This window comes from Homo sapiens, chromosome 19 (genome assembly GCF_000001405.40).
Source record: "Homo sapiens chromosome 19, GRCh38.p14 Primary Assembly".
Lineage (NCBI taxonomy): Eukaryota > Metazoa > Chordata > Mammalia > Primates > Hominidae > Homo > Homo sapiens.
In genome coordinates, this window is record NC_000019.10 from 18,984,575 (window position 1) to 19,000,334 (window position 15,760).

Consider the following 15,760-nt stretch of genomic DNA (forward strand, 5'->3'; position numbering starts at 1 on the left):
GTGTAAATCAGGCCAGGCATGGTGATACATGCCTGTAGTCCCAGCTACTCAGGAGGCTAAGGCTGGAGGATCATTTCAGCCCAGGAGGTCAAGGCTGCAGAGAGCTATGATCATGCCACTGTACTCCAGCCTGGGCTACAGAGTGAGATGCCGTCTTAAAAATAATAATGATAATGATGATAAATTTTTTGTTTGTTTTTGAGACAGAGTCTTACTCTGTCACTCAGGCTGGAGTGCAGTGACGCCATCCCGGCTCGCTGCAACCTCCACTTTCCGGGTTCAAGTGATCTTCTCGCCTCAGCCTCCCGAGTAGCTGGAACTATGTGTGTGTACCACCATGCCTGGCTAATTTTTGTATTTTTAGTACAAACGGAATTTTGCCGTCTTGCCCAGGCTGGTCTCAAACTCCTGACCTCAAGCGATCCGTCTGCCTTGGCCTCCCAAAGTGCTGGGATTACAAGCATGAGCCACCGCACCATGACAAAAGCCCCTCTCTACTAAAAAATACAAAAATTAGCTGGGCATGGTGGCGCGTGCCCATAGTCCCGGCTACTCAGGAGGCTGAGGTGGGAGGATTGCGTGAATCTTGGAGGTGGAGGTTGCAGTAAGCCGAGATGGCACCACTACACTCCAGCCTGGGCGACAGAGTAAGACCCTGTCTCAAAACGAAAACCAACAAATAAAAATGTGTGGTGAATGAATGAATGAATGAATGAGTGAACAGACAAGATGTAAAAAGCCGATCAGAGCCTCTGCCAAGGAGATGTCAGAGGGTTTTTCACAGCAGCCTTTGAACAATGGCCCTGGGAGGAAGCCAGGCTTATTTCCCCATTTGACACAGGAAGAAACTGTCTTGGTTCAAATCTGATCCTTTTTTCTCCTAAGACCACAGCTGCCTCCGAAACAAAGGCCGACAATTGCTGCCAGCAAGTGCTTTGCTGTTTTTACTTCCTCTAAACATTCTTCAGTGGATTTTCCTTTCAAACTGGTTGTAAGGAGGCACATGGCTGGGTGTTGGTGGGGGGTGGCACCCCTGCCCGGACCCCACACGCTTCCCTACCACGTGGCCGGTTTGGAGTAGACCCATCTTTGTGCTGAAACACAGCCCAACATTGCCATATACGGGGGGCTTGTCTACATTTTACAAGATTTTTACAAAAATGATGCTACACTTTGCAAATGGATTTATTTTTTTTGAGACAAGGTCATACTCTGTCACCCAGGCTGGAGTGCAGTGGTACAATCACAGCTCACTGCAGCCTTGACCTCCCGGGCTCAAGTGATCCTTCCTCCTCAGCCTCCCAAGTAGGTGGGACTACAGGCATGTGCCACCATGCCCGGCTAGGGTTTCTTTTTTTTTTAATAGAGATGGGGTCTTGTTACGTTGCCCAGGCTGGCCTTGAATTCCTGGCCTCAAGCAGTGCTCTTTCCTCTCCCTCCTAAAGTGCTGGGATTGCAGGTGTGAGCCACCACGCCCAGCTTGGAACATCTTTATTTTAAGATGAGCATGCTGGGGCCTCAGGGAGTGAAGTGAATTTTCCAAAGTCACTCGTTGTGACCAGGACACTGGAGTCAAGGCCCTTTCATCATGTCATGGGGTCTAGGTAAGGACTCAGGAAACTTCATTTATTTATTTATAGATAGAGTTTTGCTTTTGTAGCCCAGGCTGGAGTACAGTGGTGCGATCTCGGCTCACTGCAACCCCCGCCTCCTGGATTCACGCGATTCTCCTGCTTCGGCCTCCGGAATAGCTGGGATTACAGGCATGCACCACCACACCCAGCTAATTTTTGCATTTTTAGTAGAGACGAGGTTTCACCATGTTGGCCAGGCTGGTCTCGAACTCCTGACCTCAGGTGATCTGCCTGCCTCGGCCTCCCAAAGTGCTGGGATTACAGGCGTGAGCCACCACGCCTGGCCTTTGTTTTAAGGAGGAGGAGTCAGCCAATGGGATGCCTCAAGGACTGGGTCCACTGACACAGAACAATGGAAACAGATCAGCGATGTCTGAGTTCACAGCATGCGGGTGCTGCTCCTAAGAACCCTTCTGTAGATGCTACTGTTCTCCCCATTTGCAAATGAGGAAGCTGACACTCAGAGATGTGGATCACCCGCCCCAGGTTACACAGCACAGAGAGGACATGTTAGGACTGAGGATTCAAATTCTTAAGGTTTGCTTTCCTCCTGGCAAAAGCAAGTCATGAAGGCGTGGAAGCTGAAATCTCGAGGCTAACGCTCCCCTTTTCACACCTGGCCACAAGCTGCAAGAACTGGGAGTTGGTGCTCCCATGAGTCCAACCTGAGGATTCGCTGGAGAAAAATTCAGCCAAGAAAAGCTCAGCTCGTGAGGTCCCCCTCCTGGGCTGTGAAGGAAGCGGATAGTGCCAGTCATTACAGAGCCGCAATTCCTGAGTGTTAAAGTTCTCAGGGCCATGAGTATGGACTTCGTGGGAAATAGAAGCACCGTGTAGACCTATGCATGTGTGTATGTCTGTGTGCATACGTGTGCATGTCTCTGTGTATGTATGTGCATGTGTGCACGCATTCGCACATGGCGTTGCACAGGGTGTGTCCATGTGTACGCAAGTGTGTGTATATAGGGAGCTTCTAAATCAGATGAAACCAACTGGAAATCCGGATACTGATGTTTAGAATTCAAGCTCTGGAGTCAGACTGCCCCAGGCCTCAGTTTTTCCATTGGGAAATGGGCTGATCCTCCCCGGATGAGAGCACTGGAGTCCAGAGAGGCCAATGACGATCAGATTTATCTCAGTATATGGTCTGTGCTGTGGGCCTTGAGGCTGAAATTTTGTGAGCTCCTTTAATTCTCTTTTTTGTGTGTGTTGGGGGTTGGCGGCAGGGTCTTGCTCTGTCGTCCAGGCTGGGCTGCAGTGGTGCATTCATAGCTCACTGCAGCCTCCAGCTCCCTGGCTCAAGCAATCCTTCAACCTCAGCCTCCCGAGGAGCTGGGACTACAGGTGGGACTATCATGCCCTGCTAACAAAAACGTTTCTTTTTGTAGAGGTGGAGCCTCCCTATGTTGCCTAGGCTGCAGCCCCAGCATTCATTAATCATCCCCGGCTCCTACCTCTGCCCAGCCCTTAATCCCCCGAACATATGATGGGGATTAATCCCCCAAACCCTTGGGGGGGATTAATCCCCCAAACATATGGGGATGGGGGGACTTGTGACAACTTACCACTCTTTCCCTGGATAGCTCCTCTATGGAATGTGGTAGAGTTTGGGGGCCACCCAACCCTCAGGCTGGCCAGGGAGGGGTGGGCAAGGGGAGCTGAGAAGGGCTTGGGGATCCTCACGAGGGAAAACTGAGGCCCAAGCGGGTGGGATGTGAAAGGATCAGTCGGTAACAAGACCAGTCCCTCTGAACCCTCTAAGAGAGGTCCTGGGTAACCGTATGTATTTAACCCTGCAAGCTGTTGGCTACATTTCACTGGAGAAAATGCAGGCGTGGAGGGTCCCACCGCTTGACCACCTCGGGGAGGACTGACTGTGAGCAGAGGGTCAGTAATAGCGTCCCTGTTGCTGGCACATCTCTGGCCCTCAAAACACCACCCTCCACCATGGGTGGGCATTGGGGTAGTATGTGGACACAGGGGAGATAGAGGCCTGGCTGGGCCCCTCAGGGAACACGGTGACCCCAAACCACCACAGGCTCCTGCACTGTTGAGGTGGGGCTGGTGACAGGGTGGGGGTGACAGGGACAGAGTTGAGGGACCTGGAGGAGGTAGAGAGAGTCAGCAGTCAGGTCCATATCCCAAGAGGTCAGGGTTTGGGGGGTGAAGCTGGCATTGGAGCCCAGCCTAAGGGCCAGTGCCTGCCAGAGACACCTGCAGGAACCACAGCCCCCACTGTCCCGGAGAGGCAGGGAAACTAGGGAATTGGGACATCAGCAGGGTCACCCCAAAGTTAGATGGCACATGAACTGTGTGGAGGGAGGCAGCAAGGTGAGGAGACCCTCAGGAGGACCCTTTGTTCTCATATGCTATTTCCTGGACTTTGTCCACAAAGAAGCCCATTCTAGGATGTAGGGCCCAAACCCAAATGGCTAGGCGTGGAGAACCTGTTAGCTAAATGACAAGCCATCATACATACATGTGTATATGTAAGTTTATTTCAGGTTTGTATTTTTAGATATAGGGTTGCCCAGGCTGGAGTACTGTGATGCAATCTCAATTCACCACAGCCTCCAATCCTGGGCTCAAGTGATCCTCCCACCTCAGCCTCTCCAGTAGCTGGGATTACAAGCACAGGCTGCCACACATGGCTTCAGAATTTTTTTTTTTTTTTTTTGAGACCAAGGGTCGCTCTTGTTGCCCAGGCTGGAGTGCAGTGGCGCGATCTCGGCTAAACGCAACCTCTGCCTCCAGGGTTCAAGCGATTCTCCTGCCTCAGCCTCCCGAGTAGCTGGGATGACAGGCATGCGCCACCATGCCTGGCTAACTTTTGTATTTTTAGTATAGATGAGGTTTCTCCATGTTGGTCAGGCTGGTCTTGAACTCCCAACCTCAGGTGATCTGCCCACCTCCACCTCCCAAAGTGCTGGGATTACAGGCGTGAGCCACCGCGCCCAGCCTCAGAAATTTTTTAAGTGAAAAAAAGCAGGGAGCAGAATAGAACTTGAAGTATAATTTGCATTTTAAAGGTTCCATCTAAAACACGATTGTGCCTACGATTGTTTACATGTGGAATATCCTCTGAAGCCAACCCAATACCTGCTCTTTTCCCACGGGCCATGGAGACTGCTGAGACAGCCTGTGGGGAGAGGAAGGCAGTCTCCGAGTGGCACCCTTGGAGTGTCCTGTCATTTGTTTTGACTTATGGGAGGAGAAAGCCTCTGTGCTCCATTCCGCATACATCTGGGTTTGGTTTTTCATCTTTTACAAGGAAAACGTCCTCGCGTGCTGCTTGAACATGCATGCGCGCACATCTGTACGTGGGCATGCATGCACAGCAAAGGCCTGGACTGAAGCCACACCTTGCTTTTGCTACTGGGGCTTCTTGGCAGCGCCTTCTGCCTGTCTTGCCCCAAGGAAGCTCCAGGGAGGAGAAAGGCCATGACAGGGATCTTGTGGTTCCACTTAGTCCTAAATTATTAGGTTGGTGGAAAAGTAATTGAAGGTTTTGCCATTACTTTTGCACCAACCTAGTACAAGGCAGCAGGGGAGATTTTACCTTCCAAATGAGATCCTTCCCAGTCTGTAGAGGGGAAACTGAGGCCTGAGATCAAGTGACCTGCCTGGGTCAACGCCAGGACAGGCATCCTGGGCTGGACACCACTCCTCCTGTCCTCCTAAGACACCCTGACCGGCCTTAGGGTGATATTAAGAGGAACTAGGGGAAGAAGGGTTCCACTACTGAAGAGAAATTCCTGGTGGTTCCTCACCCCCTGCAGGTGAGCCCCACATTTTCCCTGCAGGCTCCGGCCTTTCTCAGGGAGTGCCACTGAAGCTAGCGGTTAGACATCGCTAAGATGAAGGCAGGGTGAGGGTCTTGGCTGGCAATAGCTTCCCCCGGGACACGGTAGAAGTGAGGCTGGGGGTCCTGCCTCAGCTTCCTAAGGGCTCTGTCTCAAGGCTCCCGCTAAGCTGCCCACAGGGACCTTTCTACATGAGCATCACCTGCCCTGGGCACAGTGCCTTCCCCCTCCCTGCAGTCTGGCTCCTCCCCTCCTCACCCTGGTCAGGCAGAGGCCCCTGCAGGCCCCCTGGGTGCTGCCTTGGTCTCTGCTGTGCCCTCTGCACGCCCCTCCTCACCTGGAGGGCCAAGGGGCTGTTGACAGAGGAACCATGGGCAGGCTGGCAGCACCCAGGGACAGCAGGGAGTGTGAAGATGACAGAGAGGCAGCTCTGCAGTCAGAGGGTGGCCCAGGCAGGCTCTGGTTTTACTCTGGCAGCTGGAACCCCAGCCCTGGGATGATGGGGCAAAGCCCTGTGGGGACAGGTGAGTCGTAGGCAGCAGGGGCACAGCTCCCACTGCCCTGACACCCCTCAAAGGCAGCTTCTGTACTTGGCGGTACCGATTACCCTCCCCAGCCTCCCCAGAAGGGAATTGCCCTCCCTCTGGTGGGTGCTTGGTCCCTTCCTGCTCTCTGGCATCTTCCAAGCTTTCCTGGTGACAGTGACACAAGGTCCCTCAGGTGGGGCAAGCCAGTGAGGAGGGGCCCGAGGGAGGAGCACCACGCCGGCGGAGGGCACGTCCTGGGAGGCAGCCATCATCTGGTTCTACACTGCACTCCCATCTGCGTGCGCTGGTGTCTGATCTGATTTTAAAAACACAGCCATGGAGACCCCAGCACACTGCATTTCCTCTACATTTATTGCAACGGCTAAATGATTAACAACATTCACAACTTCTTAGATCTTAAAAAACAGAAACAAAAGAAAACTTCCATTTTGTAACATCACAAATGTCTTCTAGGCTTTATCAAGGACCAAAAACACTACAATTCTCTAAGTGATTTCCAGTGATGGAAACAAGCCAGAGACAGTAAAGCACCCAGAGTGGCGAGAGAGCACTTCCAGATGCCTGTTGTCCTCTCGGGGGTGACCCTGGAACTAGAACGACAGAAAAGACACTGTGACTTTGACACGGCTGTGCCACCACACATCACGCGCGACACGAGGATCCTGCAGAGCGGCCTCTGCAGAGAGCAAGGACAGCCTCGGTTAAGAGGGAGGGGCTGGGGGCACGGAGGGCCAGTGGCATCTCCTCTATCCCGGCTGGCCGGCAGCTGGCAGCACGCACCATGCTCTGCTGGCTCCCGACACCTTCACTGCCCCAGCGCTGAATCCACAGGAGAGGTGTCCTCTGAGAGTGTAGGGGGCTTTCTAGGTTCAAGGAGATGTGCCCTTTGACCCCTGCCAAGGACTCACAGAACCATCTCAGCTCAAACTTGGAGGAGCGGCAGGAGGTGGGGGGCGGTCAGTGGCCACACGCCACAGATTCCTAAAGCATTTAACTTTTTAATAAAATGAAGTGGAGAAAGTCAAGAATGAACATGCTAGGACAAAGCACATGGAATGGTCAGGGCGATGCTGGAGAGAGTGCGCTTGATCCACGCTGCAGGTGTGTGCGCCTCGCTCGGGTCAATGGGCTGAGCCCCGCTTGGAGCTCCATCCATTCACCTGACCCATGGCCAACATGGAAGCTGTCGGAGGGGTCAGGAAAGGAGAAGGAGAAAGGAGAAGATGAACCCCCCGCACCTGTGACTCCCCAAAACCAGCTCCACTCCAGGCCCCCACAGGCTGGTTCGTTCGAGGGTTGGGTTATAAACCCAAACTCCATCCTCCATGCTGGCACCTCTACTGCCATAAAGATCTGCCAGTTGCCAAAGCTACAGAAGCCACTGGAAGCAAGCAGAGCCCCTGGGGGTGGTGGCACTGCAAGGTGACAGGGACCAGGCAGACAAGGAGCTGGGACCACAGCCTAGGAAGTCTGTGGCTTAAAGAAAGCCAGGATTTCCTTTTTTTTTTTTGAGACAGAGTCTCGCTCTGTTGCCAGGCTGGAGTGCGGTGGCACAATCTCGGCTCACTGCAACCTCCGCCTCCCGGGTTCAAGTGATTCTCCTGCCTCAGCCTCCTGAGTAGCTGGGACTACAAGCGCCCGCCACCACGCCCAGCTAATTTTTTGCATTTTTAGTAGAGACAGGGTTTCACCATGTTGGCCAGGATGGTCTCGATCTCTTGACCTCGTGATCCACCTGCCTCGGCCTCCCAAAGTGCTGGAATTATAGGCGTGAGTCACCGTGCCGGCCTTTTTTTTTTTTTTTTTTGGAGATGGAGTCTTGCTCTGTCGCCCAGGCTGGAGTGGAGTGGCATGATCTCAGCTCACTGCAACCTCTGCCTCCCCGGTTCAAGTGATTCTCCTGCCTCAGCCTCCTGAGTAGCTGGGATTACAGGTGCCCGCTACCACGCCTGGCTAATTTTTTTGTATTTTTAGTAGAGACGGGGTTACACCATGTTGGCCAGGCTGGTCTCAAACTCCTGACCTCAGGTGATCCATCCGCCTCAACCTCCTAAAGTGCTGGGATTACAGGCTTGAGCCACTGTGCCTGGCCCAAAGCCAGGATTTCTTTACAGCCAATACAAGTGGCATTTCCCGCTCAGTTCTGTGGCTGATGCCCTAGCCACTGCTGTGTCCCCTAATCCTGGGGTGTCAGAGGGATCCTAAGTTTTCCAGATTTTTGCCCATACTTAAAACTTCAACGATCCTGCTTCACAAGGAAGGATGAGTGGAGAATTGAGTGGAGTTACACGCAGCAGAGTGCTGGGGAATCTGGAGAGCGGGGGCGATCACATGCCTGGAAATAGAGCAGCTGCAGAGCCCACCCCAGGAGGAGCCTGCCTCTCCTTACAAAGGCTGTAATAAGACAGCACTTGACGATGCCATACGTGCGAAAAGTGCAGAGTCTCAGAGGGTTTACAACCCCCATCCCTTTGTAACTGTAGTTTGCTTACACTGTGGATTCTAAAGAGACATGTAAATCTGGGGCCGATTTCATCTGTTTAATGATTACTCCCCACCCGATAGAGCTATTCTATACTGTTGCTAAAATTTCATTAAGTCTCTCAAGATGCATTGATGAGATGAGACACCATGAATAACACATTCATCAACTCAAGTATGGCAACTGTTCAGAGAGCTTCAGAGCTTTGGTACCCGAGTGCAGACTTGGTAATTACCGGGAATTTGTCTCCCCCGTATAAATTCTGGCGAACAACGAGAAAACACCATCTGTGATCGTTTCCACATCACGTTTGCTAACAGAGCACTTCTGGAGAGCAATGGCCAGTCCAACTGGAAAATCAGCCAGAGGAGCTGGTTCCTCAGCACTCACAGGCTGAGGTGCCTTTCGGGGGCAGCGCCACCTTCTGAAGGGGAACCAAGACAGATTTGGAGGGGACTTGCTGCTAAAAGCATGTGAACAGAGAGGAGAGGCAAAAGCACATTGAAAATGGTGCATGTTTTTTTCTTTGAGAGAAAGAAAAGCCAGCGAAACCTCCGCCCCAGAGACTGCAGAGACGTTTGTTTTCATGTACACACCAAACCGTACTTGGGCACTGGCTCCAGGCCGATCCAGGGCAGGGATGATGTTTTAAGGGCAATTGCTGCTTCAAGGCTTATCTTTCACATCAGTGGTTTTGATCTATTCAGGAAGAGAACGATTTTGTTCAAAACTGAGGTGGAAATTAGGTGAGGGGGCAACTAAAAAAAAAAAAGAATAGAAAGATGAGGATATTTACAGGCCCAAGGCCCTGCAGAAGGAAAAGGATTTGAAGACCCTCACAAAGGGACACAGCCAACTGCCATCCTCTGTGGCAGTGGCTGTCACAGTCGCCCTTCCACTTGCATGATGGCAAGGCCCTCTGGACTAGGAACAGTCCGTTTGCTGGTCATGTTATGTGGTAGGTGGCTGTCATCTGTGAGAGAAAACTTGAGCAAGAGAAGAGACAGGCGTGGCCTATTTCCACACGCACATCCACGGAGGCTGGCCTGGAGGCCTTGAGGGGCTCACAGCCGGGGCACCAGGCAGGCCATGCGCATCTGCCCTTGGCCAGTGTGAGGTTTGCTCCTTCAGCAAACCTGGAAGGTAAGAATGGGGCATATCCACATCCATAGACCCTTTTGTTTCCCTCACAGAATTTTGTGATTTTTTTTGTGTGTGGCATTTTTGGGGGAGCAGGGAACATCAACTTTGTTGGGGGAAATTTCTCTGCATACCAGCACGCCAGCGAGGGCAGACGGCCTTACACACTGGCCTGTGAACATACCTATTTGTTGGCCCGCTTGTGTCTGTACATCTGCATCATCCTCTGTCGGAACACATCGAATGTGTCTTCTTTGTGCTCCTGCCCGTCAGCACCCAACCCTTCCCCTTCCGAGGGGGTTCCCCTAGGGAGTGAAAAAGAGAGTCAGTTGTGCACCTGAGCCCAGGGCCTGGCATGCCAGGAACTGGGCATGGGCACAAACAGTCCATGAGATGCAGGTGTTTGGGACACACACTGAGACATCAAAGAAAGGGAAAATCAAGACGCGACTCACAGTAGAAACAAGGAGTACTCACCCTCGAAGAGCTGGCTTTTGAGGGGGTGCCCAGAGGGCCCTGGTTACCTCGGAATGCCTTACCCAGCAGGAACTAAGCTCAGTATTAAATGAAATGCCTGCTGGAGGTTATGATCGGGGTTTAATAAACTTTGGGCCTGTGTTCGGGACCCTGGCTGGCCCGGCTATGGGTTCCCGGGAATGGGAAAGCAGTTCCAGACGGAAACTACACAGAAATACCACTTAGCTTTTATGATGGTCACAAATGTGGCCAAAATGACCAGGGCCAACAAGCTGGTTAAAAAATCTACACCAGGACAGAAAGGAGCCCTGTAAACACCTGCACATGTAAATGATCAGCTTCTCATCTGAAGATGCCTTCTGTTTAAAAAACAAAAATCAACTGCCAGCTGTAAGCCATCTTGGCTGTGAAGGAGCCAAGCGGCAGGCTGCAGGTGGAAGGACTGAGGCCCCACCCACTCCCACCCCAGGCTGCCTGCTGCGTACACGCTGACCGGCTCCCTGATGCCCTTTCCGAGGGAGCCCAGGCCATGGCCCTCCTTCCAGCCCATCTTCTGCAGCATCTGGAAGCCCAGGTTCTTATCGGTCAGCTTCTGCTGGGCGAAGTCCAAGTCCTTGGGTTTCTGAGGAGAGAGGAGAGTCCAGGCATGTGGGCCACAGGGAGATGCCTGGATCAAGGGTCTGTCCTAGGCTATGCCTGGAGCCCCTCACCCCCAAATGCCCTCCTGACTCCCCAGATGCTCAGGCTCAAGCTCCAGTCACTTCCCCAGTTCTCTGCAACATCCCTGGGTGGGATGGAACTTCTAAGTCAGAGGTCACTGGCCTGAGGTCAGTCGTGCCTCTCAGCTACCACTATAACCCTGGTGCCAAGACTGTGAGGAAAACTGGGTAAGGGAATGGCCAGTCCCGGGGTCAAGGAGTCAGTAGGAAGGCCCTCAGCGGAACCCTGGATAAAGAAGGGTGGCCCTGTGATGACCACAGGGCGCAGCCCAGGGAAGAGTGGGGGGCACCAGGGCACAGGCCTGCAGGCAGGATGGGGGCCAGACAGTGGGTGAGAACTGGCTGGCAGCACCCTCCCTGAACCACCCCAACATACCCCTCCCCGAGTGCTTCATTCACTCCCTGGCTGCATTGTCTGTCTGTCCTCAGGACTGAGTTCTACTTGGACATTGGGGTCTGTGTCTAGCACAGAGCAGACCTCACTGAGAGCTAGTACAGCTGTTGATTGCTCCTGTGGGTGGTGGGGAAGTGCAGCAATCTCTGGGCCACTAGATGGAGATCTGGAGACAGACAGGGCCCTGGGGCCTCTGGAGGAGGAGCCTGCAGGGCTGTAGCAGAAGGAATTTCTATTCACTCATGAATATTCATGACACACTGCTGTGTGACAGAGCCCAGCTGGGCAGTCCAAGACCTTGCCATGTATTCCTTGGCTCTTCACGAGTCAACTTGTGTGGGTGGGCTGGGCGTGGTGGCTCATGCCTGTAATCTCAGCAGTTTGGGAGGCCGAGGTGGGTGGATCACTGGAGGTCAGGAGTTCCAGACCAGCCTGGCCAACGTGGCAAAACCCCGTCTCTACTAAAATACAAAAATTAGCCAGGCATGGTGGCAGGCACCTGTAATCCCAGCTACTTGTGAGGCGGAGGCATGAGAATCGCCTGAACCTGGGAGGCAGAGGTTGCAGTGAGCGGAGACCGTGCCACTGCATTCCAGCCTGGGCAACACAATGAGACTGTCTAAAAAAAGAAACAAAATACAAAACTTGTGTGTGTTTTTTTTAAATATAGAGTCTTGCTATGTTGCCCAGGCTGGTCTCGGATTCCCGGCTTTAAGTGATCCTCCCACCTCAGTCTCCCCATTAACTGGAACTATAGGTATGTGCCACTGCACCCAGCTTTTGATGTTTTTTTTTTTTTAAGACGGAGTCTTGCTCTGTTGCCCAGGCTGGAGTGCAGTGATGCAATCTCAACTCATTGTAACCTCCGCCTCCTGGGTTCAAGCGATTCTCCTGCTTCAGCCTCCCGAGTAGCTGAGATTACAGGCGTGTGCCACCACGCCCACCTATTTTTGTATTTTTAGTAGAGACGGGGTTTCGCCATGTTAACCATGCTGGTCTTGATCAAACTCCTGACCTCAGCTGATCTGCCCGCCTCAGCCTCACAAAGTGCTGGGATTACAGGCATGAGCCACTGCGCCTGGCTGATGTATTTATTTAAGGCATTTACTGAACGACCTGGGGAGGCTGTGAGGGTTCATGTGCTCTTGAGAGGGAGGGAGGAAGGTGCTGAGGAGGATCACGGGGGCTGGTGCTGGGGGTCTGAGCAGGGGACAGGTGGGAGTGGCTGGGAGAGGGTTAGATGACCCTGGGCATGGGAAGCAGGGTGAGAAGGGCATGCTGAGTGCTGTGAGCTCAGGTCTTTGGGCAGTCAGCCCTCATCAGCTTAGCAACCTGCCCCATGATGTCATGCAGGCCTCACGAGGTATAATTCAACCAAAAGACAAATCCCCCCCTTGCCATCTGCATTGAGGTGCCCAGGAATCAGCTTCCCTAACGTTAGGGGTGCATGTGGGAGGCACTCCAGAGACAAAGGAGCTTGGAGACAAGGCACAAAAGGCTGAGCCTGGGGGAGCCAGGGGCTGGGAGAGGAAAGGGAGAAGGGAGAGAGCAGGGCCTCAGGTCAGGAGGGAGGGAGGGAGGAGAGAGCAAGTGCTCCCATAAGGAAGGCCTGGGCCTCTGGAGCTCCTGGGGCCTCAGTGTTCTCACCCTAGAAAGGGACAAAACAACCTGGAGAGGTGCTGAGAACTCAACATGCAGCAAGATGTAGGGGGTCAGAAACGGATACCCTAAGGCTGGGCGCGGTGGCTCACGCCTGTAGTCCCAGCACTTTGGGAGGCCAAGGTGCGTGGATCACGATGTCAGGAGTTTGAGACCAGCCTGACCAACATGGTGAATCCCCATCTCTACTAAAAATACAAAAATTAGCCAGGTGTGGTGGCACGCCCCTGTAATCCCAGCTACTCTGGAGGCTGAGGCAGGAGAATCCCTTGAACCTGGGAGGCAGAGGTTGCAGTGAGTTGAGATCATGCCATTGCACTCCAGCCTTGGCGACAAAGGGAGACTCCGTCTCAAAAAAAAAAAAAAAAAAAAAGAAAGAAAGAAAGAAAGCGATACCCCGAATTATAGCACTTTGACAGGTGGGACTAAAGTAGCAGCCTCAAGGTCCCTCCCAAAGCACAGGAGGAAGCTGTTTTCTTCAAGTTCCCTATCTACCTAGAAACTGGACTTGCCAAAGAAGAACACAAGGGCCTTGGATCCCTTCCCTGAAATGTCATTAACCAGAGTTGAAAACTCCTATCACACAAGAAGAGATGGAACATTAAACACCACACCTAGAGCCCAGACCACTGGCTGTTCTCTAGTCCCATTCAATTCTCAATGAGGATCATTCACAAGATGATGCCTGCCTCCATTCATCTCTCCTAAAATCATCTGCTTCCCCTCTAAAGTTACCTACAGCCTCCCATCTGCCCTCTCCCCTACAAAGAGGTATTTCAGCTTCAACCACCTGGCCCTTCTTTGAGTTTTCATAATGTTTTATATGGCTCCTGTGCTTATGCACGTGAATAAATATGTATAACTTTTTTGTTTCAAGACAGGATCTTGCTCTGTCACCCAGGCTGGAGTGCAGTGGCTCCATCATGGCTCACTGCAGTCTTGAACTCCCGGGCTCAAGTGATCCCCCTGCCTTGGCCTTCCAAAGTCCCGGGATTACAGGTGTAAGCCACCGCACACCTTTTTTTATCCTGTTAATCTTCTTATTGTCAGTTCATTTCAACAGGCTTAGACTTGGACCTTCAAAGGCGGAGGGAAATTCCCTTTGTTCTCTTCAGAGGCATCTCCGAGGGTATTATATAAAGTAGCTGTGTGTGTGTATGCATGTGTGTGTGCGTGTGTGTATGCATGTGTGTGTGCATATGCGTGCACATGTGTGTATCTTGTGTGTGTGCGTGAGTTACTGGATGCAGGCGGCCCCTCCATAATGGCATGAGGTGGTCTTGGTGAGGCGGTGTGGGCAGAAGTGTCTCTGCAGGGCAGTTAAGGAGGGGAGGTATGAAGGGAGGAGCTATGCTATGGGCTGGGACAGGAAGAGGGGCACAAACAGTGAAGAGACACCCCTGCAAACCAGGGGACACCAGACAGGACCTGCTACACTGGGGGGCCCCTTGCCATGAGAAAGTGGCCTGGAGAAAAGAGGTGACAGAACCCACCGGCTGAGATGAGAAACGGGGCATCCGTCAGGCCCTTCTGGGAGCTGTGCACGACCTGGGCCCTGGGATGACGGGTAGGGAAGGAAGGGGAAAGGCTGGTCATGGCAGGGCACAGGGGTCCCCAGAGGGCAGGTCTGTACTCTTTTCCCTTTCAGGAAGGCTGCTTGGAGGTGCAGTGGGAGGAAGAGGGTTTGGCTCAGCCTGGAAGTTTCTTCGTGAATGTTCAAATCTGTGTTTAACAATCATGATGGTGGTTTCCTGGACAGCTGGAGGAAAGCCAAGCCCTGTGGGCGAGGTGGAGGTTTGCAGAGGAAAGCTGCAGCCACCACGGCCTCCCTTCCACCCACAGTCACTGGCAGACAGGAGGACAGGTGCAGAGCCCCAAGGAGACAGCAGCATGTGCAGGACACCCACCAGGAACCGCGTTCAGTTTAATCCTCACTGTACCTCCTACCTGCTGGGTAAGTGTGGCCATCCCATTTTACAGACAAATCCGTGGCTCAGGGGTTACACGCCAAGGTTACAAAACTACTCGGTGGCAGGGCTGAGCTAGAGTACAGCTGTGCCTGACACCAAGGTCCTGCTGTGCCCTCATCTGGCCGTGCCCTTATCCAGGCCACACCAAGGGGCACCAGATGCCAGCTCAGCCTAAAACCTGGCACATCAGTAAGGACTATGAGCTCTGGACTCGGGAAGGTCCCTCCTTCCTGCCATAATTGGGGTCAGACTGACCTAGGTCACTCGGAAGGGGTTGGAAGCAACATGGCACTGCCTGACACCAGCAGAGCGATCTCGCCTGGCTCCCCGCCCTCCTCCCTGACCATGAAGGACTGGTGAAGTCTCTCCACATGTGTCCCAGGTGACCCTGCTTGCCCCCAGCACTGTGTCCCCCAGGCCATCTGGAGTGTACCTGCCCCCTTTCCATAACCTGGCTCCAGGTCAGTGAATGGCAGTTCTGTCCCTCTTCTGCCCAAGCTGACAACCCTGGGGTCATCTGGACTCCTGGCTTTTGCACACCCAGCCCACAAGCAGGTGTCACCCACTCCATCTTCTCCCCTTCTCATTGCTCCTCATGCCCTGGTCCAACTGTCTTAAGTTTGAGCCTCCTCCTGGTTCCCGCCCACAGGCTGCTCTCCACCCTAGTGGCCACATCCACCACAGGTCCCAGAGGTACCCTCCCTTCCCTGAGAAAGGGCCACAGCGTTAACATCTGTTGAGGTCCTGTGTGACCACCCCCCGGATTCCTCTGCTGCCACAAAGGCCTCTTGCTGCCCCAGCCTCTCTACCGAGGCTGTGCCCTTCTCAGATCTCTACACTGTTTCTCCTCAGCTCCTCCAGGCTTGTGCCAACGTCATCTGCAAGAGAGACCTCCCTTGGCTTTCCCAATTCAGCGGCATCCCCTCGACCCCAC

The 15,760-nt window shown here is 53.2% G+C and overlaps 1 protein-coding gene across 38 annotated transcripts in view, besides 1 other annotated feature; it reads right to left on the bottom strand.

The window, feature by feature from the left end:
• Window positions 5,313-5,813: an enhancer, noted in NCBI's record as "H3K4me1 hESC enhancer chr19:19100696-19101196 (GRCh37/hg19 assembly coordinates)". NCBI's record gives its function as "activates a minimal SCP1, AML or CMV promoter by ChIP-STARR-seq in naive H9 embryonic stem cells {active_cell/tissue: H9 hESC(naive)}" and the evidence as "EXISTENCE:reporter gene assay evidence [ECO:0000049][PMID:30033119]".
• SUGP2 (SURP and G-patch domain containing 2) overlaps window positions 6,313-15,760 on the bottom strand; it is a 42,958-nt gene continuing 33,510 nt past the window's right edge. For 4 of the 38 annotated variants that reach the window (XM_047438023.1, XM_024451307.2, XM_047438022.1 and 1 more), the window contains exon 9: window positions 6,319-10,706. In XM_047438023.1, the coding sequence (XP_047293979.1) occupies window positions 10,419-10,706 (288 nt within the window). In that variant the 3' untranslated portion in view covers window positions 6,319-10,418. Of the gene's footprint in view, window positions 10,707-14,349; window positions 14,412-15,760 lie in introns of all 38 variants that reach the window. The other 34 variants (NR_147915.2, NM_001352071.2, NM_001017392.5 and 31 more) reach the window with 21 other exon arrangements.